Source organism: Homo sapiens, chromosome 13, assembly GCF_000001405.40.
Source record: "Homo sapiens chromosome 13, GRCh38.p14 Primary Assembly".
Classification (NCBI taxonomy): Eukaryota; Metazoa; Chordata; class Mammalia; order Primates; family Hominidae; genus Homo; species Homo sapiens.
Genome location: NC_000013.11, coordinates 37647832 through 37673442, shown reverse-complemented (window position 1 = coordinate 37673442; position 25611 = coordinate 37647832). Strand labels below are relative to the sequence as shown.

The following is a 25611-nucleotide window of genomic DNA, read 5'->3' as shown; positions in this document are numbered from 1 at the left end:
AATAATGCATTCAATTTAATAATCTGAACTAGAAAATTCTAACATGTAGATAAACTTTTATTCATTTAGCCTAGTTCTTAAAATAATGCCTTCTGCTTCTGTGGGCAACCTTCAGGTATGACAGAAGCAAAATTGTCTGAAGTTGGATGCAGCCATAGAAAAGGATGAGTTCATGTCCTTTGTAGGGACATGGATGAAGCTGGAAACCATCATTCTGAGCAAACTATTGCAAGGACAGAAAACCAAACACCGCATGTTCTCACTCATAGGTGGGAATTGAACAATGAGAACACGTGGACACAGGGTGGGGAACATCACACACTGGGGCCTGTCGCGGGGTGGGGGGAGGGGGGAGGGATAGCACTAGGAGATATACCTCATGTAAATGATGAGTTAACGGGTGCAGCACACCAACACAGCACATGTATACCTATGTAACAAACCTGCACGTTGTGCACATGTACCCTAGAACTTAAAGTATAATAATAAAAAAAATTGTCTGAAGTTGGAAAGGCCATAGTTTTCTGTTAAAATGCTACCAGTGCTCACCGAAATACTAGGGGAAAGCAATTTCTATCAATTTTATGGAAAGCAAGTATATTTCAAAATGAAAACATAATTTGGTAATTTTATTAATGCATTGAGGTTAATGACCTTGAAAAGTTTAAGACAGCAGAAGGTACTCTTTTAACCAAAGGAGATTATGCATTTCTGTAAGAGGTAGGCAGTCTGTGATTAAGCGCCTAGCTCTCCAGTCCCCTTCTTCTGTCATGATTCTTAGATGTATACATAAAATTGTTTAGACCTACTTCTAAAAGTAATATATGTAGTTTTTTGTGGTTTTGTGCTGTCATGAAATTCTGGGATTATATCACAATACCAGTTCTTCTCAAATTTCTAAGTGGATAGGAATCATAAGGAGGGCTTGCCAAAACTCAGGTTCATTTTCTCCATCACCAGATTTAAGTTACATGTACTAAGACAAAGTCCAAATTTGCATTTCTAACAAACTCCCAGTTGATACTGATACAGTTGACCTAAGGAAGACACTGTGAAGAACATTGCATTGTATAGACCTGTTCTACAGCTCAGAGAACTGTGAGATTGGGTCCCAAAGAAACTGCTGTTATACATCTATTTAGACAATATTTAAACTAAGCTATATCATGTTTGTATTTATTACATTTGTGTGATGTTTATGTATAGTACATGTATTTTTTCATATATAAGAACTCTGGTACGTAGTGAGTATGCTTACATAGATTAATGGATATTTGTGGATGTTTTGCCTCAAGACTTTTAGATGTGGGATTTTAATTTAGTTAAAAAGTTGTAAATTCTACACTGGCAAAATCTATTTTACCATTAAAATCTAAACATTGTTCTTCATGTTTAGAATTAAACTCACTCACCCCAGTGATGAAAAGGAGGGGGCAGAGGGAGAAACGGTATGTGGAGCAGTACACAGTAATTACTGCAGATGAAGATGACCTAAGGAATGTGAAGTCTTCAAAAAATACATAGTTTGTTAATATATGGTCATAGGAGTTCAGCTACAATTGGAAATATAAACTACAACATGTCCTTTCTGAAGGATTTGCATTTAGCACAATGTATGTTTTTGAGTTGGGTTCATGTATTCATTGGCATGCACTGTGGAGTCACATTTTTGGTGCTCCTTTCCTCCATCACTTACTAGTTGGGTGACCTTGAGCCTGTTTCTTCACCTCTATTTGTCTCATCCATAAAATAAGAAAAATAATAATTTCTACCTTATGCTGTTGGCATGAGAAGTAAATGAGTTGATGTATTTAAAGTGCCTATTACAGAATAAGCACACTAAATTAGTTTTTTCTTTTTTTTTTTACTTTTGTCTTTGCTTTCTTTCTCATGTACTATGAGTCTACTAGACTTGCCTTTTGTAAGATCTTTAATGTGTCTCCTCATTTGTTTTATTTTAGTTTTAAAAGAGTTTGAGCTCTAGGTCCACACTTGCCTTCACCATGTTCAATCTGTATGGTATGGGACAAGTTATTGAATGTAGGTCTCAATTTTATTATCTGTAAGTTGATGATAATAATCAAAAGAGTACTCACTCTGGGGGCCTGTGATGTCACTCTGATTTTCTGATTTGTCCTTCCTTACCTTACATTTGTTCTATCATTCAATTTTTTTCAGGCTAATTTGTAATAACTTATAAATTATTATTTTAAGAGCAGGTAGGTAATTTGCATGAAAAAATAGAGGCTGATGTAGATAAAGCAAACAGCTATTATGTGAATCAAGAAGCTAATCAAATCAATAAGCATTTATTGGAGCACACTAAGAAACAGCTTTTGATCTGGTTGCTGAAAATGCAAATCTGCCCAAGAGGTAGCTCTTGCCTTCAAGTGGGTCACGGTCAGGTAGATGAAAGAGAAATGCATGTAAACAAGGATCTTACAATGTAATAAGGTCTATAAGAGGGGCTACTGTAACATGAGAGAAGGAACTGAACTTTTCTGTAATGACATGGAATTATACAGAGGACAGTACAAGTGGATATCTATCATGATCATGAACATGCATGAGCATTCAAGACAGAAAAGGCACAATATGCAAAAGTCAGAGTGTTTAACAAGCAGAGTTCACTATCTATTTTGGATGATCCTAAAAATGTGGGCAGGGAGAAGGTGAGAAGGACTTTCCACATCTTGCTATCGGGCTTTTATTTTACCCTATAAATTATAAGGATCCATTTAGGTCATTTATGCAGGGAATGGTTCAAATGATGATGATTGCCTGAAATAGAGCAGTGAACATAGGAGAAGATGATAGAAGATTGGACTTGAACAAATTTAGGTAGTAACATCTGGAAGATATGTGATTTAGTAATTATGAAATATGAGGTAGATTAAATCATGCTAATAATTCTCCGTAGTAAATAATAGATTCACCTCTTTTGCTTCAGACGGGATTACCGGTGTTATGACTAGGACCTCTGCTAGGATTGTATAGGTTCTACCTCCTATCTGAGGATTCCTGAACAGGAACAAAGTCCATTCATAGGTCCTTTTGGTTAAGTCATGGAACTGGACCAAAAAAAACTGTATCATCCTACAAAAAAAGAAAATCTTGTTATAATTGTTCTTTTCAGAAAAAGAACCTTTTAGAAACATCTGTCATAGGGGCCAGCCTTGTTTAATTTCTCCATTGTATTAGTCACCTCGGCTTGTCACAATAGAATACCATAGATTGGGTGGCTTAAACAACAGAAATTTATTTCTTGCAGTTACAGAGGCTGGAAGCCTGAGATCAAGGTTCCAGCATGGTTGGTTTCTGGTGAGGTCTCTCTCACTGACTTATAGAAGGTTGGTCACATTCACCTGGTGGGGGTGGGGCATAAGGGGTTGGGAGAGAATGCAAACTTTGGTGTGTCTCCTTATAAGGACACTAATCTCATCATGAAAGCCCACCCTCATGACCTCATATAAACCTAATTACCTCCCAAAAATACCATCTCCAAATACCATCACACTGGGGGGCTCAATCTGGGGAGATGCAATTCAGTTCATGACATTCATACTTTTGAAATCCATCTACTTGCAAGAAAGATCTTTATTTAAAATGCACACAAAACAGCCCTTCTAACCAAGGCCATGGAATTGCTGTGACTATGACTTATATCACTTCCTACCTATGTGATTTGGAGCAAGTTACTGAACCTGTGCCTCAAATTTCTCTGCTGTAAAACAATAATAACAATCAAACATAATAGAATGTTTCTGAAGATTAAATCAATAAACATTTAATTCCATAGAATAGAACCTAATATAAAAACGCAGTATTTGCTCTCAATTTTTATATACAATGCAACAGTATTATAATGTGCAAAGACAGAGCATAAAAATATGTATGACTTCAAGATTATCCATTTTACATGCAAAGTTTTGTGGTGTTTTCTTGAGTATCTTGATTTATTAGCATTTAAAGCTCATGGGTTATAAACTTTTAAAAAATTGCTCCTAACCCTCTAGAGGAAAGTTTGTCAATCATTTTCTCTTTTCACTGTGTATGAAGTATTAGTTAATCTGGAGTTTGTTGATGCCTGGGGACCACAGTTATAAAACGTTACTTCAGTTTCATTAGGGCTGGTTTATTTCTAAATATTATCCAGCCCCTTTTCTGTATGTAACACTTCTCATATTTATCTTCAACAGTTTGGCAGAAATGATTAGATTTTAATTCCTTTTTCGCTGTGTAATTTAAATAATATTTTCAAAAATCAAAATTTTTATTAATAAGAAGATTTGTTTTAACCATCATTGTGGCTTTTCTTTATAGCACCATTCTTCTAAATAGTTCTAACTGCATGTCTCATAGATCCCATTTCTTATTAACTAGAAAAGGGCCAAGTGTTTTTCCTATTTTATAAATGATGTAACTTTAGTCTGCTCCCCAAAGTGTGGGATTGTCTAAGGTATTCTTTAGTTTTATGGCAGAAAGCTATAAAGATTTGAATCTTAGTTGTTTAATCAGAATTATGTACTTGAAGAGAAAATAATATGCCAGTATAAACACTGGTCTTTTTGGTCTTTCACTACTTAATTATCTGATAAATTTCTAGAAAGGGAAAAGATTTCACCATGTAAAGCACACATTAAAACCAATATATGTTTCTTATTTAATCTCACTGACCAATATTTTTATTTCATATTAATTTAATTTTTACTCATTTCTATTTATTACTTGACATTCACAAGTATGCATCAGAGACTACAGAGGATATAAAGATAGCCTAACATATTTTCCTACATTCAATAAACTTCTGATCCAATATTATGATTCAGTTCATCTTTCTCTCTTAACACTGCTGCTAAACTCTTCATGACTTGGCTCCAACTCATCTCATCCTCTCATACTCATCTCACTGTTCCCAAATCCTCTGTGTTACATCTGTGTCAAGATACATTTATAAAAATGATCCATATTCTCTAACCACTTTGTTTTTTAATATGTCTATAATTCTTCTCCCCAGAGTGCTTTTTGAGTTCCTATCATATATAAAGCACTCTACTAGATGTCCAGCACCTAAAAATGCCTTAGACAAAGCTCCCTGCATAAGAATCTGACAAGTAATCCAAAAGTACCTCTCTATTATATAGGTCTGCAAAATAAGCAATTCTCTTTCAAAGGAATCTGAATAGAAATAAAGGCTTGGGGAAAAACCAAACTAGGGTACATACAGACTGAAAACAAATAATTGAGAGAAGGAGGAATACAGGAATTAATGATCCTAGAAAACCTATGTGTGTTTAAAGTAGTTCTTGATTTCTTCCTAAAGGATTACTTTACAACACGGAGCTGTCAGCTCTGATCAGCAGGATCCTAATGTCCATGCATCTGCAGTCGGGGTAAAGGATTAGCATGGCTTGATTAATGTATGACTTCACCATGTTGTAAACCCGTATGGCATCTTCCTTGATCAGTACCATGAACCCCGAAGACAGTGCCTGACACAGAGCAGGCACACTCATGTATACTTGATGAATGAATAACAAAATAATTGGAATTTAAATTCATTCTAGAGAAATGGTACAATGTTCATGGAAAAGCATTTTGGTAAGAATGTGTGACTAATTTGAGGAATTACCAGTAGTGAAAGTTTGAGCCAAAACATTAGGTGTCTAATTAGAGCCAAATGGCAGTTAAATCTTTAAAAGGAGTCAGAACATAGAGGCTTTATGTAGCAAGTTGAAAAATCAGAAGGTCATCTCAAGGACAATGTTGTGATTGAAGAACATTAAATAATATGTGACATGGGCTGGTTGGGTTCTTTAAAAGATTCTGGAGGAGGGCTGGGTGCCGTGGCTAATGCCTGTAATCCCAGCACTTTGTGAGGCCCAGGCGGGCAGACCACCTGAGATCAGGAGTTCAAGACCAGCCTGGCCAATTGTGGTGAAAGCCCGTCTCTACTAAAAATGTAAAAATTAGCTGGGCATGGTGGTGGGTGCCTGTAATCCCAGCTACTCAGGAGGCTGAGGTAGGAGAAGTGCTTGAACCCAAGAGATGGAGGTTGCAGTGAGCCGAGATTGCGGCACTGTACTCCAGCCTGGGCGACAGAGCAAGACTACGTCTCAAAAAACAAGATTCCTGAGGAGATACATAGATGATGGAGGACATAAGACTTAAGGCAGGGAGAGCAGTGAGGAAGGTGCTGCAGTTATATCTGAGAAATAAGAGGTACTATTTTAAAACAGTGAGGGTAGTGATGAAGAGAAGGAAGCAACCTACATAAGATTTGGGTTTAGATGCTGGGATTTTAGACAAAAAGATTCTAGGAGGAACCTCAAATTCTGACTTGGTGACCTGTTGCCATTCATAAGATCAGAAGGGGTAAATGGAGAAAGAGTTTCAGGATGCAAAGGTGGTGAGTTACACTTTCGATCTGTGAGTTTGAGATGCCTGTGAGACATCCCAGTGGAAAAGTCAACCAGACAGTACAATGCAGAATAGGGCTGTTAGGTGAGAAGTCTCAGCTGGAGATGTATAGTTGAGAATAGTCATTGAGAGTTGAAATCCTGGAAAACACCCAGGGAGAATTGGTAGAATGAGAAGAGAGGAAGCTTGAAAAATGAACTCAACTTTTAAGGGGCAGGTGAGATTGAGGAACTTCCCAAGGAGACTGAGAAGAGGCCACTCAAAGACAAACATGCGAAGATGAAAAGGGAAGGTAGGTTTTGTAAATTGCTCCTAAATAGCAGAGGCAAAGAAATTTTTTAAAATTCAAATTAATATTTTAATTCCTAAGAATAGGTGTGGAAAATTCATCGACTGATTGAAGAATTAAAATTATTCGCTACAAATTCAAAGAATATTACAATTTGTAATTATAAAAATCACTTTGTTAAATGATGACTATAGTTAAAAACTTAAGAAAATATCTATGTGAAGGATGGGATAAAAATTCAGCAAAATTTAAGAAGAATAAAATCAAGAGATAATTACTTCATATTTATATCTCTTAATCCGTGACAGGAAATGAGGTTTTTTGGATCAGAGAACAGACAAATTATTTACTTACATAGCAAACTTAGCACTGGTTCCCCATGCCCCAGTCCCCAGTGGGGGACCTAATAGCCAGATGTACCCTGTGTATACAGGGGTTTGTACCACAGGAGAGGAGCTTGGAAAATATGTGTCTCAGAACTCATACCGTGCAGCTGAGCCAGCTGCCTGTCTTTCCCCTGGAGAAGAAAAGAGAAAGACTTCAACTTTCTAAAGTAAATAAATTGTCTCTGGGGAGACAAAGGTCCCTAGGTTTATTATTCTGAGAGTGTAAGCACAATAGCTTCTGGGAAGAAGATCCTAAGTTTCTCAGGAGGTCTCCATCTTTAACTTCCAATGGTTGTTTCCCATTCAAACATCCTTTAACCCAGATGCCAGCAATGTTTTGCCTAAAGCCTTGACCTTGCATAAAGTGAATATATTCATGCAGCATTTTTTCCTGGCCATGACTAGAAGTGCTAGACTCTGAAATCAGCTTAAATAATCACACTGGGGCAGAATCTGTAAAAATGGAAAACCTTCCTCTTATGTATTTTTTTTTTTTTTTTTTTTTTTGTCTCAGCTGAGATAATTTACCAAGAAGGGCTCTTTTCAGAGTAGGTCCATAATAGAACTTGACCTAGTCATAATGTGATGATGGATCCACATCCAGCTGACCTGGATGTTAAACCTAAAGCAATGCATAGCATCTTTCCTAGATTTGAAGGATTTTTAAAGCTTTGACAATACATCATCTCTCACCATTCCTAGCCTCAGAAGCCCCAGACAGAATTAATCACTTCCTCTTCCCTATTCCCACCCCACTTTGTGTTAATCTCTTAGAGCATTTTTATTGTAATTAGTTGTGCCTGTCTGCCTCACCGGGCTATGAATACTTGACAGGAGAAAATATTTCTTGAGCACCCACGATATTCAGGGCATTTTGCTAAATGTTCTAAGAAGTTCAAGAAAATGATTGCATTATTAAGAATACTTCTTGTTTCATTTTTTGTGTATTTTAAAATATAGTCCTGAGCTATATTAGGTTAAATGAAGAGGAATTTAATTAGCTACCAACATAGGGGGATATTTCTCAAGTATAAATATTTATGAGCTAATTGTATCGCTGATAGAATTAGCTATCAATTATAGGGGGACAGCTATCAATAGTTACGGACTTAAATATGTGTGTCTTTTAAGAGAGAAGTGAGGAAAGGAAGGACAATGTGATCTTGGTCTTTGAAGGAAAAGGTGGCATCATACATAGCGAGACTAAGAGCAGAGAATTAGGTAATGTTTAGTATCCAAGTTTCACTCTGACACTTGTCATAATGAAAGAGAAAAACATCTTAACTTTTTTTTTTATATCTTCAGTAATTAGCTATTTTATGCGGAAGCTATGTGTGGGAATGTTCAAGAACATTTATCAAGATTTAAAGATAGAAAATAATTTTCTTCTAGTTCAAACTTGATTGTTTTACACTGCCAGTCAAGCAAGAGTCTGAGTGTTGAATAAGATCAGGAGCCTATAATACATTGTCTCCCCAGAGAGATTAAAAAATACTATCTATTAGTTTCAAGGAGAATTAATTGATTCACATTTGTAAAGCTCTTGGATGTAAAATGTGCTATAAAAAGAATAAAAAACATTATGTGGGACTCAGACAGAGTAGCACTAACTTTCTTTTCATTGGAAAAACATCTTGGTTGTCTAGATATATTTTTCAGTGATGTGTATGAAGCAAATAATTCAATTTATTATTCAGTTCTAATACAGATTTAATTACAGATTTTCATACTGCAATATCTAAAAGAGCATATTTGACCCTTTTTTTTTCTTTTGAGATGGAGTTTCACTCTTATTGCCCAGGATGGAGTGCAATGGCGTGATCTCAGCTCACCACAACCTCAGTCTCCCAAGTTCAAGTGATTCTCCTGCCTCAGCCTCCCTAATAGCTGGGATTACAGGTGCCCGCCACCACACCTGGCTATTTTTTGTATTTTTAGTAGAGACGGGGTTTCTCCATGTTGGTCAGGCTGGTCGCGAACTCCCAACCTCAGGTAATTCGCCAGCTTCGGCCTCCCAAAGTGCTGGGATTACAGGCATCAGCCACCGCGCCAGGCCTTGACCCTTTTTTAAAAGGGATACAAATTTACCTCGATAGTACACAGTTAAATTTTATTTTGCTTTTTATATGTTTTAATAGCAGGATAATTCAAATCTGACATTTTAATTAACCTGCTTACTTTTTAAATAATTGCTGGTCAAAGTTTACAGTAGCAATTTTTTTCTCAAATCATGTATTTTACCTACTTAAGGAGCATTCAGATAAATGTTATATTTCCTGCATATTAAATGTAAAAAGTTAGCAATTCAGCAACTGCCGGGACGATTTGTAAGTTAGGTTGTATTTACATTTAGGACATAGCAGAGAGGAAGCACTGATGGTTTTTGCCCATATTGGTCATTTCTGTTTCCATAGCAACAGACCACTACTTCTACTCATTTATATGTAATTTGTATCCTACATGTGTTCCTCTAGAATTGGCAAGTGTGTTCAAAAATCGAAAACAAAGTCATCAATTATTTTGTTCAAAATTTAATAGTTTTCCTTCTGGGTCTGACCTTGATCTATTTATATGCGTGTGTTTGTTTTACTTTCCCTTTGTTTCTCTGTTTTTTCCAGTACAGTGCCCTTAATCCACGAGAATCATGGGACATGTGGCATCCCACTCTGGTGGCAGAGGCTTTATTTGCTATTGCAAACATCTTCAGTTCTCTGCGTCTGATCTCACTGTTTACTGCAAATTCTCACCTGGGACCTCTGCAAATATCTCTGGGAAGAATGCTCCTGGACATTTTGAAGTTTCTATTCATATACTGCCTTGTGTTGCTAGCATTTGCAAATGGCCTAAATCAATTGTACTTCTATTATGAAGAAACGAAAGGGTTAACCTGCAAAGGCATAAGATGTGAAAAGCAGAATAATGCATTTTCAACGTAAGTCTAATAGACATTTCTACTGGTAATGTTGTACAGCATTTAGAGTGCACCACATCACAAACTTGAAAAACCTATGACAAATGGTTGTAAAGAAAATGGGGAACTAAAATTGTGCTTAATGCAGAAAACAGAATTAACATGGCTTTGAATAGAAATGAAAACTTCCGACAGGAAAAAGAATACCTGACACATTTATTTTAAATTTTAGTAAAATCATCTTTTCTTCTAAATGACTTCATGAAAAAGAAAGCAATAGATACTATTTTTTTGATGTAGAATTTAAAAAGGTAGCCTATATACTACAAAAGCTTACAAGTACATTAAAAGATAGAACATGTGTAAAACCACTCATGTTGGAAAATTCAAGTAGATTTCAATATTTCCTCATGTGTTTTCCAGGTACTAAAGTCCGTTTATGTATCTCTTTCATTCTCTAGTTTCCTACACAAAAACTTAACCATCTAAAAATAGTGCAAATGGAAATCTAAGACTAATCTAGCCATTACTGTCATGCACACAAAACTCTCTGTGCCCTTATGGCTGGATGAGCAATAGACAGTGTCTATTGTCAGCTCTCTCAGTTATTCTCATAATGGGCTTTGCTAACAGCACACAGCTTCATGGGCACTGTGTCTGATGGTCACACAGCTCTCATAGGCTATTCCTCTATATATCTGTCCCATTTCCTTCCCACTGTGACAAACAGACGGTTAACCAGTAGCTGAATTAATAAGTGAAGTGATTTTCCTCCATACAGTAACCACGTTTGAAGACACAGTCATTTTGTAGGTGACTTTAAAAGTCATACCTTATTCATGAGCCATCATAGAATCTTGTATACTATAAGAGAGGATGGTAATTTCTCAAGTAACAAAAAAGTCAATAATATCACATGAACAAAATCACTTACAGCTAAAATGCTCTTGTTGGTCTAATTCTACATCTGTTTTATCTTAGCTCCAATATTTAAAACTTCATTTTAGTTATTCATCATCTTTTTATTTGCACATAATTTTTAAATGTCAGCCATTGATACCTCATTTTTTTCAGAAATAGATTTGATACATCCATGGATCTTAAAGAAAACATAATTTTTTTTTTTTAAGGCAGAGTTTTGCTCAGTCGCCCAGGCTGGAGTGCAGTGGTGTGATCTTGGCTCACTGCAACCTCTGCCTCCAGGGTTCAAGTGATTCTCCTGCTTCAGCCTCCCGAGTAGCTGGGGCTACAGGCACCCACCACCACGCCCGGCTAATTTTTGTATTTTTAGTAGAGATAGGGTTTCAACATGTTGGCCAGGCTGAGTCTTGAACTCCTAACCTCAAGGGATCTACCCACCACAGCCTCCCAAAGTGTTGGGATTACAGGCATGAGCCACTTCGCCGGCCTTCCAGCTCCTTCTTGATCCTGTATTCCTAAGCAGCAGTTTCTTGGCCTGACCGGTTCACTCAGTCTTGACATCTTCCCACTGCTCTCTTCTGACCCTGGGCAGGAGGAATTCAATGAAATCCCTTGCAAAAACATCCTCATAACTAGCATGGCCTAGGATGGCATCTCAATTTTGATATCTGAACTTCTCTTCCTCCCCCGCCCACCCCCTACCCTCTGGCTCCCGTCTTATTTGTGGTTCTTGACTTGCAACTTGGCCAGGGAAACGGATTAGAGATTTACAATGGTCAGACCCCACCAACCTCTTCCTTCATAAATGAGAGTTCTGCTCTAACAATCTTTGTCTGTCTGCCAGCTGGTCTCCTGGATTTCTGATGGAGAACCCTTGTGAATGCTCTTTCACAACTTTCTTCTTACTTTATGCTGCATAACCTGGTGCAAACTGCTTGCCAAGACCACCCCATCTGTTCCTGTTGCCATATCCTTCTGACTTCCTCCTTTGCCTTCCAGAAAGAACTTCCACGTAGCATTTAAAACTGTGTTAACTCCCAGGTCCTCTTTATTTCAGGGAAAAGCTCTGGTTCCCAGACCCAACCCTTCTCACCTATCTGATTCCTCTGCAATCAATAGGTTATACATAACACTGTCATGATTTATGATCCCCTAAAATTCCTAGGAATTTCTTTGTCCCTATATTGGTTTCTTTGTAAGTAATAACATATTACAAACTAATTATAACATAAATCAAAGGAGATTAAGGCCAGACAAGCATGATGTAAAATGCTTAATATAAATTTTATTCCAAAATCAAATATACTGGATTATTGGGATTATGTATTACTTTCGTTTGTCTCTACCAGTGATTTCCTCTATTGTCATGAAAAGCAACATATAATTACATATCTTAAATACTATAGGCCTATATCATTCAACCCAAATAAATCAGTTATTGCACTTGAATTATTTTTTCTAAATAATATAAATGTGCAAGCCACAAATTATTTTTTGCTTCAAGATATTGAAAAACTAAAGTATATATCAATAGCCCTTAACATTAGGAAGCAGGAGGTCCTAGGCTTAAGTCACCTGTCTCTTGATGACTCTGTTTAAGCAAAACGGACACCAGTCATTGTCACAGGGTATATAGTGATACCCTTGGGGCCCCTGCTCTACATCTTACTTCTGTGCTTTCTTTGGTTTTTAATTTTCTTTTTGTAATTCTGTACATTTCATAAATTCAGGCTCTTTTTTACTGCCCACTATTTCCGAGACCTTATTCTATGTGAAGGTTAAAAATACACTAATTCATATAAAGTACCTAACACAGTTCATGTCATAGAATGTCATCAAAAATGGTAGCTACTCTTATTATCTTCATGATTGGCAATGGTAGAGGATTATCTCTCACATATCTCTCATAAGGTTTCATCTCTATTATTCCTTCCACTCAGTTTCAAACTTTGTTAAAATTTTGAACCCAATATTTCCCATTAGCTACCACTCCTGTTTCATTCCTTTCATCCAAGTAAACCTAAAAGAAGCCTATACAAGATATCTTATTTTCTCACCTCTCACTCAAACTTCATCCAATTATAATTTGGCTTCTGCTTCCATCATTCCACTAAAACTGCTCTAAAAATTATCACCTGGAGCCTTCTTATCACCATTAACTATGGATATTTATCTGCTCACATTTTACTTAATGTGTCTGCTTCATTTGACCCTGTTTAACACTTCCATTTCTGGAAATCTTGCCCCTTTTAACTTCTATATTATTACCTTTTTCACTTCAAATCTTACTTCTCTAGCCTTTCTCACTTTACTCTAACCCTAACCTTAAGTATACTCTGATAATTTTTTATTTTCATTACTGCTTTTAAATAGTGGTATGTCTTAGCATGCTAACCTGAGACCCTTTTAACAGTACCCCTATGAAAACTCATCTGTGCTTTTGGAATTGGCTCTATATGTCTAAGTCATGACTTCCATATTTATATTACTAGCACCAATTTCTATCCTCGGGTTGCACAATATATTCAGCTGTCTAGTGGACACCTCTCTCTACATGCCTCCTGAAGACTTAAATTCAATCAAAGGGAATTTATCAGAGTCTCTCTAAAACATATTCTTCCTCCTGCTTAATTCCTTTTCTTAGTCAACATCACCACAATCCACCCAGAAACTTACATCAAAAACATTTATCTTATTCTAGATCCTACCTTCTTCTCATCCCTTCCATGTGTAGTCGGTCAATAAATATCTGTTCCTGCTCCTATTATCTTGGCACTGTCTTCCCCTTGCTCTCCACTGATGCCCAAATCTAAGTACCCCTGCCCCTGGTCTCTGCCTTGTTTCTTATGTCTTCCATTTTGCTTCCTGAATTATATTTCTAAACTAATATCTGAGGCTACCCTGTTTAAAGTGCCAAAATGGTTTCCCATTTCTTACAGGATACTGCCACATTCTTTAGCTTGACATTTTAGATCATTCATTGATCTGCTTGTCCCCTGCCTCCTGTCTTAGTCCATTTTTGTTGCAATGAAGAAATATCTGAGACTAGGTAATTTATAAAGAAAAGAGGTTTATTTGGTTTATGGTTCTGCACACTCTATAAGAAGCACAGCATCAACATCTGCTTCTGGTGAGGGCCTCAGGAAGCTTCCATTCATGGCAAAAGAGTGAAGGGAAGCAGGCATCACAGGGGGAAAGAGGAAGGAAGCGAGGGAGGGAGGTGCAGGGGTCCTTTCAACAATCAGCTCTTGTGAGAACTGATAGTGTGAGAACTCACTAATTACTCCTAGGATGACACTAAGCCTTTTGTGAGCAACCCACAATCCACCCTCATCACTCAAACACATCCCTCTAAGCCCCACTTTCAACATCAGGGATTACATTTCAACATGCTATTTGAAAGAGACGAACATCCTCTGTATCACTTCCTTTTCTTGTCTCATCTTTCAATCCCCCATTAACACTTTACTCTTCAATATTTCCTGATGGATTATAAATACAAATCCCCAAATACGTTATTTTCTTCTCTTATTCGAGAATGGCCTTATTCTGCCCTTCCATGTGGCAATTTTTTTTTCCAAATCCTACCTCAGATATACCTTTTGCAGGAGGCCTTTTCTGGTCTTCTCCCTGACTGAATGCCCAGTGTCAGGCTGTGATCCATGTCTTCTATGCATCTTCATGCCGTTTCCCACCAGTGAATACATACTTCCTCCTGCTCCTTTCCAGGTTATTTTCTCATTACCCTGAGAAGAACTACATGTTACCAAAAAACACAAAATATTTAGTTGTTGAAACTATTCTATGTGCAATTTTAAGCTATTAGCCCCTGGTAAGGTACTTTCTTATGAAGAGAGGGGCACAGGCTTTGTGACAGGTATTGTCTCATTAAGCAAAGCCCTTTTATATTTGTTGGAGCTGTATTCCTAATGGTTGTAACTGGCCAGTTGGAGTCATACATTATTTTAATATTTCATTTTTGCTTATAAACTAAAGATAAAATATTCAGATGAATTTTTTATTAATTTATGTTTGCTCATTGTTTTAGTCCCATGGGATAGAGGAAAATTTCAACAATGGAATACATTACTTTTTTACACGTTCAATTCTTCTGGCTGTAAATATATAATCAGGGAAACAAGCTAATTGTATAAAGCATATGTTGAGCAATATATTCAAAGCAAGAGATAAAATGCTATCATTAGGAAGGCAGGACCTAAGTCCACCCATACAGACTGTTAGGATTTAGTCTTCAACCCAAGTTTTATACTAAATGTCACTTAATTAAATTGTAGCATTATCTTGGAGAGTTTTCAGTTCATATCTTACCACAGAACAAGAAAAATATTAGTCACGTAAAGGCATTCTGAGATGTGATACTTTAAGTAATGATCCTTCAATGTATGGGCAATGTTGGTCTCAATAGATTTGGGAATTACTAATGACAAAAACATTTCTGAAAGCAGTGGCTTTGAAATGTTAACTTAGACTGATTTTTTAAAAATCCACCTGTTATCTGAACAATTCATTGAGAAACACTAAGGCCAGGGTCTTAATTCCTCTGAGAAATAAATATATTTTAGTTAAGTGGAACTAGTCTTTAAATCTCACCACTGACTTATTCCACTAAAAGAAGGAAAATAAAAGAAAGAAATAATCTATAAGTAATCATGAAATGTCACTTTATTTAGAATTTTCCCCTTTAAATTTTTTTAAACATCAATAAATATTTTGCAAAAGTATTTATTAATGTTTCCTAAAATTAGTAGTTACTATGTAGACAGGAGCAAATGTGTACTATTCAAAATAATAAGTGGTTTATTCTGCATCATTGTTTTTATTTGAAAAAGAACCTGTAATGGGGTTTATGTGGTAACATTTTACACTATATATTGTATAACTTATAATATTTAACTTACAACTTTCCTTAAATTGCTATTCATGTCAGGAAAACCAGCTGATTTTTATGTGTATACTCACAGTGAGAACATAAACTATTTGGAAAGAAAGAATACAATTCTTTCACATTAAATCCAAAGGACACTATGATTAATTTTAGAAGTTGTCTTTAAAGTTACTAAAAATAAAGAATTCATGGCCATGGGCCAAATTTACTTTTTCCTGAGAAATTTTCAAAGAGTAGCTTTAGTGGCCTTTGTCTAGGGCCAATGAGTCAGATTGAATTCTCTCTATTATTGTTGGAATCTGGCACCTGGGTTTTCCTCTAAGAATATGTGATCACCTCCTCGTAGAATGCACAGCATTCCATTTAAGAATCACAGTCTGGCTAAAGTTGATCAGATCAGTGCCCTTTCTCCTTCACAATAATCTGTTGTTCCGTCATTTTACAGGTCTAGAAAATAAATAGTTAAATTTTCTGTCTTAAAATTAGTTGCTCAATTAAAAATATGAAATTTTTTACCTTTTTAAAAAAGCAATTTCCATCCTGAATGCCAATTAGGCATATTTAGCTGGAATCTCCTGGTTATATGCACTAGAATTCACAGCTTATTTCAAGTAACAGGCATTTAGTTATAAAAAAACATGCAAAGAATTATAGCCCTTCAGTCTTCTGAGTAAGGGTTTATCTTTGCAAGGGCAGAACCTAGAGCAAGCCCCAGCTTTGGGAAGAGCCGGAGTTGACGTAGTGCTGGGCCATGGGATTGTTACTCTGTGTGTCAGCATTAAAATGAGTCAGCTACTTCATCCTTATTCCGAGTTTACTTATTGCCTGGCTTATTCATCCTCAATTCTCTGCTTCTTAGTTTGTGCTGTCTCAAACCTTTGGCATCCCGTCATTCCAGTGACTCTGACTCCACATCATAACCCCTGTCATCCCAACCCCTTTGGGCAATTATCTTGATATTTTTAAGGCAAACTTCTCTAGAGGGGAATTCTGATCTTTTTTGCCTTAATGCATGCCACAGGCCACTGGCCTTATATGAATTTTCTCTCCTTGGGTCACTTGACCATGATTGACTTAGTCCATGGAGGTATTGGGTGAGAAGCTCCAGAGTCTTACACAAGGACTACCTTTCCATAAAAGGGCATACAGGGGACAATGCCACTGGGGCTGGGAGTTGCCAGAAGCCATAATTGACTTGGTTCTGCAACACCATTCCAATCTAATGCTAATCTCCCAATAGACAGAAATCCTACCTCCTTAGTCATCATGCCGTGTATGAGAAGGTTTTCATTTTATTTTTGTAATTTAAATATAGTCTCATTTTAACGATTTACCAAGAAGTATGAAATCTCTATCATCGTTTTATTACACTATATTAATGTATTATTATGGTCCCTTTGAAACAAACAATTCTCCATTTGAGTTCAGATAGTCCTCAGCTTATTTCATTTTTTGGAGTAAGTTAAAGGGACATTATTTTCAATAAAATAGCCAGAGTTCATTCATTGGCTAGAATAAATAAAATGTTCCTTGAAATACCAAAAAAACCAAAAACCCATCAAATTTTATTACGTAAGCATTCTGAGACTCTTTACCATCTTACAAGATGCATTATGTCCAATTTTAGTTGTAAACATAGAAATCTGTAGTAATTATAATGTTCTCAATTCTCCTACAACCAAAGCAAAATCAGTAAAAGAGCAAACTTTTTAAAGCCTAAAATTTGGGATCTATCATTTATTAGTGATGACTTAGTGCCCTAGGACAGAGATTGACAAATGTTCTATGAAAAGGAGCAGATAGTAAATATTTTAGGTTTTCTGAGCCATATGTTCTCTGCTATAACTACTTTCTTCTGCCATTGTAGCACAAAAGAAGCTATAGAAAATGCATAAATGAATGAGAATGGATGTGTTTCAATAAAATTTTATTTATGGATATAGAGATGTGAATTTTACATAATTTTCATGTCATAAAATATCACTCTTTTGATTTTTTTCCCAACCATTTTAGAAAGTGAAAACCATTCTTAACTCAGTACCCATGCCACATTTGCCTCTCTCTGCCCTAGGAAACTAAATTTAGCTTTCAAAGCTCTTGGGAAATTTAAGTACACCATTTCTACTAGTTTGAGGAAAACAGTTTTATTTCACTCTTTTTATCGTTTAATTTTATAATTGTCCTAAAAGGTTATTTTACTGTTGATATTAATGTTTAAGTTAATTATATATATATATATATATAATCATGCCAAGCTTTATTGTTTTATCCCATGTATAATGATTCCATTAATATAGCTATTAGTATCATTTTATCTTTATTACAGGTTATTTGAGACACTGCAGTCCCTGTTTTGGTCAATATTTGGGCTCATCAATTTATATGTGACCAATGTCAAAGCACAGCATGAATTTACTGAGTTTGTTGGTGCCACCATGTTTGGGACATACAATGTCATCTCTCTGGTTGTTCTACTCAACATGTTAATAGCTATGATGAATAATTCTTACCAACTGATTGCTGTAAGTTGACCAGCTTTATTTTAATTCAATGTTTCCTCTAGAATGTGTTGTTCTTAGCTATACTCCATCTTCTTATCATCGTAAATAAAATCTATAATTAGCTATTGATTAGACAGATAAGAATTATAAATGGTTAATTTGAAATTTCTGAGCAGTAGCACACTATATGTAGCTATAAATTAATCTGATTTTGTCATGTTACACATGATTACAAAGATAAACCAAATCCATTTTGCCAGGCAGCCATTGGCTATGGGAAGTAGTAGCTGAGGTCTGACTAATAAACAAGCAGCTCATCTCTGCGCCGTGTACAATAGGTTTTGCCTCCTGTCGGTCCATTTAACCTACCACTCTCATATAAGCGAAGTCATCCCTACAGGGGAAGATACAAAAGATAACCCAGAGAGGAGTCTGGGAAGGGGAGAAGCCACAGGATTTTCAATTTCTTAAAGCTCAGGGAAAGCAATGTATTAAGAGAAGTAATATTAACTTCTGTAGGATAATACACGATACAATACATGTTTTTTTGAAACTCTGGAATCTAAACAACGTAGCACAAGTTATTTATTTATTCATTCAATACATAATTACTGGGTACATACTGTGTTTTCCAGTACTGTTCTGGGCACCAGAAATACAGCAATGCACAAGAAAGACAAAGTTGAACTTATCTGCTTGAACTTATATACTAGTGATATACGTCTAGGACCACTAGCAATAGCAGCAAAACAGAACTCTTAGTGGAATGAAATATAGTTAAGTCTTTCATATTTATACCTTAGACAAGTAGCATTTTATAATCGTAATTATAGTTTTCCCATTTTCTTCATAAATAATTACATTCCATTACACCTTTGAATCTATGGTTAAATCTCTGAAGTGTTATTACTGTTTTTTTGTCAAGCAAAACTCTGAATTTTACTTCAACCATCCTTAGGGAGGCAATTTTTCTCATAAGACACTCATCACTGATGAAAAACTGCATAGAACATGAGAATAGATGGTTTTTATTTATTGATTCACAGACTAAAGTATTCCAAATGCATAAAAAATTCCTCTGGAAATAGGTAGGTCCTAGGATTTGGAGGTTAATACCCGAATTTGTGGATACTTTGAATTTCATTTAAGCATCTTACGATCTGAAATTTTTATAAATAGACTCTAAATTTTTGTGTCAGAAGTTCTATATTCTCCTAATCAACATATTTCCAAAATGTGCGTTCTGTTTTCCAGAACGTCAGCAACAACAACAAATTAGAAGGCCTTTAATTATCAAGCTAGATACAAGGAAGCTGCCAGCAATTTGGATCTTTTAAAACATTAAATGTCCCAATTTCATCAAGGAGAAAACACTATTTAAGAATATTATGACATTTTCTTATTGCTTCTTTGTGAGGTGTGCTTTTCTAGGTAACTTCATTACAGAGATAAGAATCATCTTCAACTCTCTATTTAGACTTAGCCCAAACCCTAAGACTATGGAGAACCAAAGAGTCACTGAGAACCTGAGACAGGTGTGATTCCCAGGACTCCATGCATGAAGTCTCCTTGGGGGCACGAACATGCCAAGCATTTGCTTACACCTGTCCCAGAATAGCAGAATTTTCTCTTTTTCTTTCTTCCTTCCTTCCTTCCTTTCTTTTTCTTTCTTTCTTCTTTCTTCTTTCTTTCTTTCTTCCTCTTTCTTTCTTTTTCTTGTTAACTGTAACTCAGAGCCATCGGTAAACCATGAAAAAGAGGAAAATTTAACTGTTGAAAGGCAGAAGCACTTATGTAGGCCCCAACTAAAGACTGCTTTCCATTCACTCATTTGTTAATTGATTGAATATTTATTGTGCACCTACTATATGCCATAAACATGCTTAATTTTCGGGATACAAAGAATTAAAAAGTCCCTGTTTTCAACAAAAAAATGATATAGTAGAGATAAAAAGCAATAAATAATTTCAATATTGAGAAAAGAAATTTGAGGATGTCATGAAAGTATGGAAGAGGGGACCTTGACTGGGGTTGGAGATAGGAGGCAGCTCAGGACTGATGGGAGGCAGAACAGGCTTCTAAGGAGAGAGGATTCTTAAGCCAAGTTTCAAATGTTGACTAGGAGTTAGAAGGTGAGTAGTGGAAGGTGGATCTAGTCATCACCAGCTTAGAGCTTTTTATCTCCAGATTTTCTAAGCACCATAGACTATGTTATAGACCCTCTTAAAATCCTAAATCATGAACAAAGAAACCACTTGCTTAGTGATTGCAATAAGATAACATAATTTCTGACTCACCGAGAGTCAGAGAATCAGAAGGAGCTATCCACAGGCCAATGCTTTATCTAAGTGATTGCCTTTTTATTTCCTTGAGCCAAATCTGCTGAGTCCCATTCTCCATGCCTGCAGGAAACAATATGTACAATTCTCTTCACCAATGCAGCATAATCAGCCAGAACCTATAAACTTGTCTAGAAAGAAAGAGAAAGGAAAGGAGGGAGAAATAAGAAAGGAAAGGAAGAGGAGGGAAAAAGGGAGGGAAACTGCAGCTTCTGTGTTCCGATTTATGTGGATCAATCCATATTACCAAACATTTGCTTAGCAGCAATAAGGCCATGCATTCTCTAGGTATGGCGATTCTTGTTCAAAGCACAGTCTGTCCAATATCTGGATTAAACCCATGTTGCGCAGAATAAAAAAGTATGCATAACTTATTCATCCGCACACAGCAATTTAGGAATATCAAAATGAAGCCTAGTTGAAGATTATTCTCCTACTCTAAAATATGAGTTCGTGTTTATGATATTAACTGGTTACAATGAACTATTCTGAATTCTTAAAATGAATGTATGCCCAGTCTCTACCACCTCCTACTTCTCAGATTTTCTGCTTAAATCAGATTTATGGCTAAATTAAGAAGAGACTGGCTGTCCCAAATCTAATTGCCACAAATGTACCAAAGTTTCCTCAGGAGGTTAATAAAGTGGAGTGAGTAATACATGATGAAGGGGATAGCCTCAGGATTGTGGGCAACCACTGGCCATACTCCTCTTTGGTGAAATCTGTACAAAGTTAGGTCAAGATTCAATGGTGTGTCAGAGAGGCCCAATTCTACATTTGTTAATGGAACTTCTTTCTGAGTTTATCTCTATTGGCCGAAGGTGGGCAATAATATTCACATGAAAACATATCCAATAAGACTTTTCCTGGCAACATTGAAGGCTAAGCCATGAGCATCTGTGGAGGTAGCATTAATCTAAGCAGGAATACAAGGCTTTGGTTAAGACAGAAAGTCTATTTCTGGCCTGAATCAAATGAAACTGCACTAACATGAGTCTACAGTGCAGAAGATGCAGGCTAATCTTCAAGTCATAACTAATTACTGCAGTCTTTTTAACATGGAATTATTTTAGATGTCTGTTTCACTGAAGAAGGAAGGATGAGAAGTGACACGAGAGCTGTGACTACCCTAGGTTAAGCCACCCTCTGAAATGTTTAGATGACTGTCTCTGGGAGTCAGTGGTGGTTTTAGAAGCAATTTAATTAATGTTCCAAGAGCCGCTTGAAGTCAGGTTACAGGATCTCTGTGAGATTTATGGTACCTTGTTAATTAAGGAACCTATCATCAGTTGTCATGTTCTCCTGTTCAGGACCATGCAGATATAGAATGGAAATTTGCACGAACAAAGCTTTGGATGAGTTATTTTGAAGAAGGAGGTACTCTGCCTACTCCCTTCAATGTCATCCCGAGCCCCAAGTCTCTCTGGTACCTGATCAAATGGATCTGGACACACTTGTGCAAGAAAAAGATGAGAAGAAAGCCAGAAAGTTTTGGAACAATAGGGGTAAGAACACAGCATGTTAGTATTACTCTTTTTTTAAATTGTGTATTTGAATATATTTGTATTCTTTATTGTACATGTTCAGGTCTTTAGCCTTTTTGTTCTTACTGATTGCATGTCATGAACATTTATAACACATCTCCCATGACTAAGGCAGTGTCTGATTAACTAGGATTTCTTCACAAGTGAATTTCCTGCATCGAGGGCAGTCACTACTATTTTAATAGAAGTCCCGCTCTTCACACAGCCCTCCTTGAGTTCTGCTAGTCAAGGCTGGGGAACTAGCATACTCTGTCTTAATACCTTGACTTCTAGGTCTTTTCAGAATGTGACAGCAGGTTATTTGTGGCATTTCTTCCTCATTGTCTGTTTCCCCCTCTGGATCGTATGCTCCATGAGGGAAGGGCACGTGCTTTGGTGACCTCAAATTCTTCATGCCTAACAAAGTCCCTGCACAAAGCATTTTATGCTTGATAAGAATTCTCAATTAAATGATTGACTGAATATTATAACTTAAATATGCTGTGCCAACTGTTAAGTGTGATTCCAGAATATGTGTAATTACTCAACATGTTGCATCTACTCCCTATCATATTAGATGCCAAGAATTTAGGCATCTAAATATATATATATGTGTGTGTGTGTGTGTGTGTGTATAGAGAGAGAGAGAGAGAGACAGAGAGAGACAGAAGAGAGAGAGAGAAAGGTGAGGGGGCGGGGACTGCCCAGAGCCATGCTCCTGGTAAACTGGAAGATGGTATTTCCCTTTCATCATTTTGGAAATCAGGGTTTCAAGCAATTCCAGCAGAAGATACACCACGTGAAGCTTTTGGTGCAGCCATACCATTGACATAAGACAAATCATTCTTCACGCCTTCCTCACTTTGTGTTCTAATTTTGAAAGTTCTCATAGTAATGTTTTGGAAATTAACACTCATATTCATTAGTCACTTGGATCTTCTCAGTAAAATTGCTTTGGAAGTATTTTTAAATGTTATCATATTAGGATTAGCAAGTAATATTAGAGATTAATTAAAAATAAAAAAATATTAATTTGTTTTCAATTTTATTTTACATGGTTTGTGACTGCGATGCCCTAAGAGATCCTTACCACTCTAACTTCATTGCCCACCAGGCATTGTCATCAGCACCAAATGGAGCTTTCTCCTACTGGCAGTGGCATTGATTTTCCTCTCATCTCAGTAACAACTCTAATTCCAAAGAGAAATTGACTGGCAAGTGAATGTTACAAAGAGGTGATTAGGAGATGCAGTTCTATTCTTTCCCATAAACTATTACCCATAGATTTGGGGGACTACAGTTTGAGAATGTATCTGACCTTAGAAACCAAAGTCAGATTACAACAAAGCCTTATCCTGCCATCCTCATACTAATTTATGAACTTTATCACTGACCTTAGAAGGGAGTGAAATTATTTTACTCCAGATATTTGACTTTTGTGTTAAAAGTTTTAGAATAAATGTAATAGCTTAGTTCTTTGTTGTTGTTTTTTTTTTTTTTTTTTTTTTTTTTTTTGAGACGGAGTCTCGCTCAGTTGCCCAGGCTGAAGTGCAGTGGCATGATCGCGACTCTGCAAGCTCCGCCTTCCGGGTTCACGCCATTCTCCTGCCTCAGCCTCCCGAGTAGCTGGGACTACAGGCGCCTGCCACCACTCTCGGCTAATTTTTTGTATTTTTAGTAGAGACGGGGTTTCATCATGTTAGCCAGGTTGGTCTCGATCTCCTGACCTCGTAATCTGCCCACCTCAGCCTCCCAAAGTGCTGGGATTACAGGCGTGAGCCACCGCGCCCGGCCAATAGCTTAGATTTAATAAGCAATTACTGCATGTGTCCCCCTTGCCGTAACTGAACTAGAATTTGAGGAGTGGGAAGAGGTACGAAGGCATGGGTTCCATCTTTGAGGGCACCAATTTTAATGAGAGAGATACAGAAATAAAAACAGATATGTTATGTAGTATATTTAACATTATAATACAGTCACATGAAAGAGGTTATGGGAAAAATGCAAGAAATAATTAATGCTTCCCTTGAGGTAAACAGGACAAGATTTCAAGGAAGCCAGACTTCAGCTTACTCCTTTCCAGATCAAATATACTTATCCTTTATACCATCTCATTCTTAAATTTATAAGCATTTTTAATTGATCTCTGATAAGATAGTGATGATTAATGCTGTCATAATATACTACCTTTCATAAGAGTATTTTGATTTAGAAAGAGCTTCTGGGCCAAAAAAAAAAAATACCTACTCACCAAAGAAATATGTATTTCATATTTTAATTTTAGGCAATGGCAGAGAGAATCTTGGTTTTTAAGATAACAGGAAACTTGTAACAAAACACAGGGTCCTGCTCTGATGTTTTAAGAGATCCATCTGTACTGCCAACAAAAAGAATGGAGAACCAGACCAAAAACTTGGCTTCCAACCCTCCCTCCTATCCTCTCACTGTTGACTCATGGGTAGGATTATGTTGCCATCATTTTTTAGAAGCAAAGAGGAGCTCTCAGTCAATTGGCTTTTCTATTAAAGTAGTGATTCATTCTCAGAGTTAAACAGTTTTATTTGCTATATATTACTGGTCTCAAAAGGAACCCACACATTTCTTTTATGTGTTTATATTTGAATTTTTTGCTCCAAGCTGATGCACAGCAAGGTAATTTGAAACTAATCAGAATCTCAAACCATTCCTTTTTTTTTTTTAACCATTAATATTTTACTAACATTCAACAATGGCTATTTGGATGCTTTGGGAATTTATGCCAAACTAAAAAATATTCTGAGTTTTGTCTGTCTTTTCCACCAATCTAGAGCCCTGGGCAAGCACCAGCCCAATCAATATCAATGCTGTCTAAATTTACTCTTTCTCCATACTGCATTTCCAAAATGAAAAGGACATATTGTTTTCAGATGCCTACTCTTAGTTGAGCTTTATACATTTTTTGTTTATATGAAAATAAATGATAGGTATAATTTATAAGGAAGTTCTTGCTTATAAAAGTATAAGAAACGCTGGGTGCGGCGGCTCACACCTGTAATCCCAGCACTTTGGGAGGCCTAGGTGGGTGGATCACAAGGTCAAGAGATAGAGACCATCCTGGCCAACACGGTGAAACCCTGTCTCTACCAAAAATACAAAAATTAGCTGCGCGTGGTGGCACGTGCCTGTAGTCCCAGCTACTCAGGAGGCTGAGGAAGAAGAATCGCTTGAACCCGGGAGGCAGAGGTTGCAGTGAGCCGAGATCGCACCACTGCACTCCAGCCTGGTGACAGAGCGAGACTCCATCTCAATAAATAAATAAATAAATAAATGTATAAGATAAATGAGATATAAATTAAGATGGTTGTATTATTAAAAGAGGGGTTAACTGAGAAAGTAATATCAAAAGTAATTAATTTTTCTGTGAATTTATTTCAAC

At 36.5% G+C, this 25611-nt stretch overlaps 1 protein-coding gene across 11 annotated transcripts in view; it reads left to right on the top strand.

The window, feature by feature from the left end:
- Positions 1-25611, top strand: part of TRPC4 (transient receptor potential cation channel subfamily C member 4) — a 237710-nt gene that overhangs the window by 196330 nt on the left and 15769 nt on the right. For 7 of the 11 annotated variants that reach the window (NM_001135958.3, NM_001354806.2, NM_001372055.1 and 4 more), the window contains 3 exons: positions 9714-10027; positions 18160-18355; positions 21984-22178. In NM_001135958.3, coding sequence (NP_001129430.1) covers positions 9714-10027; positions 18160-18355; positions 21984-22178 — 705 coding nt within the window. Of the gene's footprint in view, positions 1-9713; positions 10028-18159; positions 18356-21983; positions 22194-25611 lie in introns of all 11 variants that reach the window. The other 4 variants (NM_003306.3, XM_011535206.2, XM_017020723.2 and 1 more) reach the window with 2 other exon arrangements.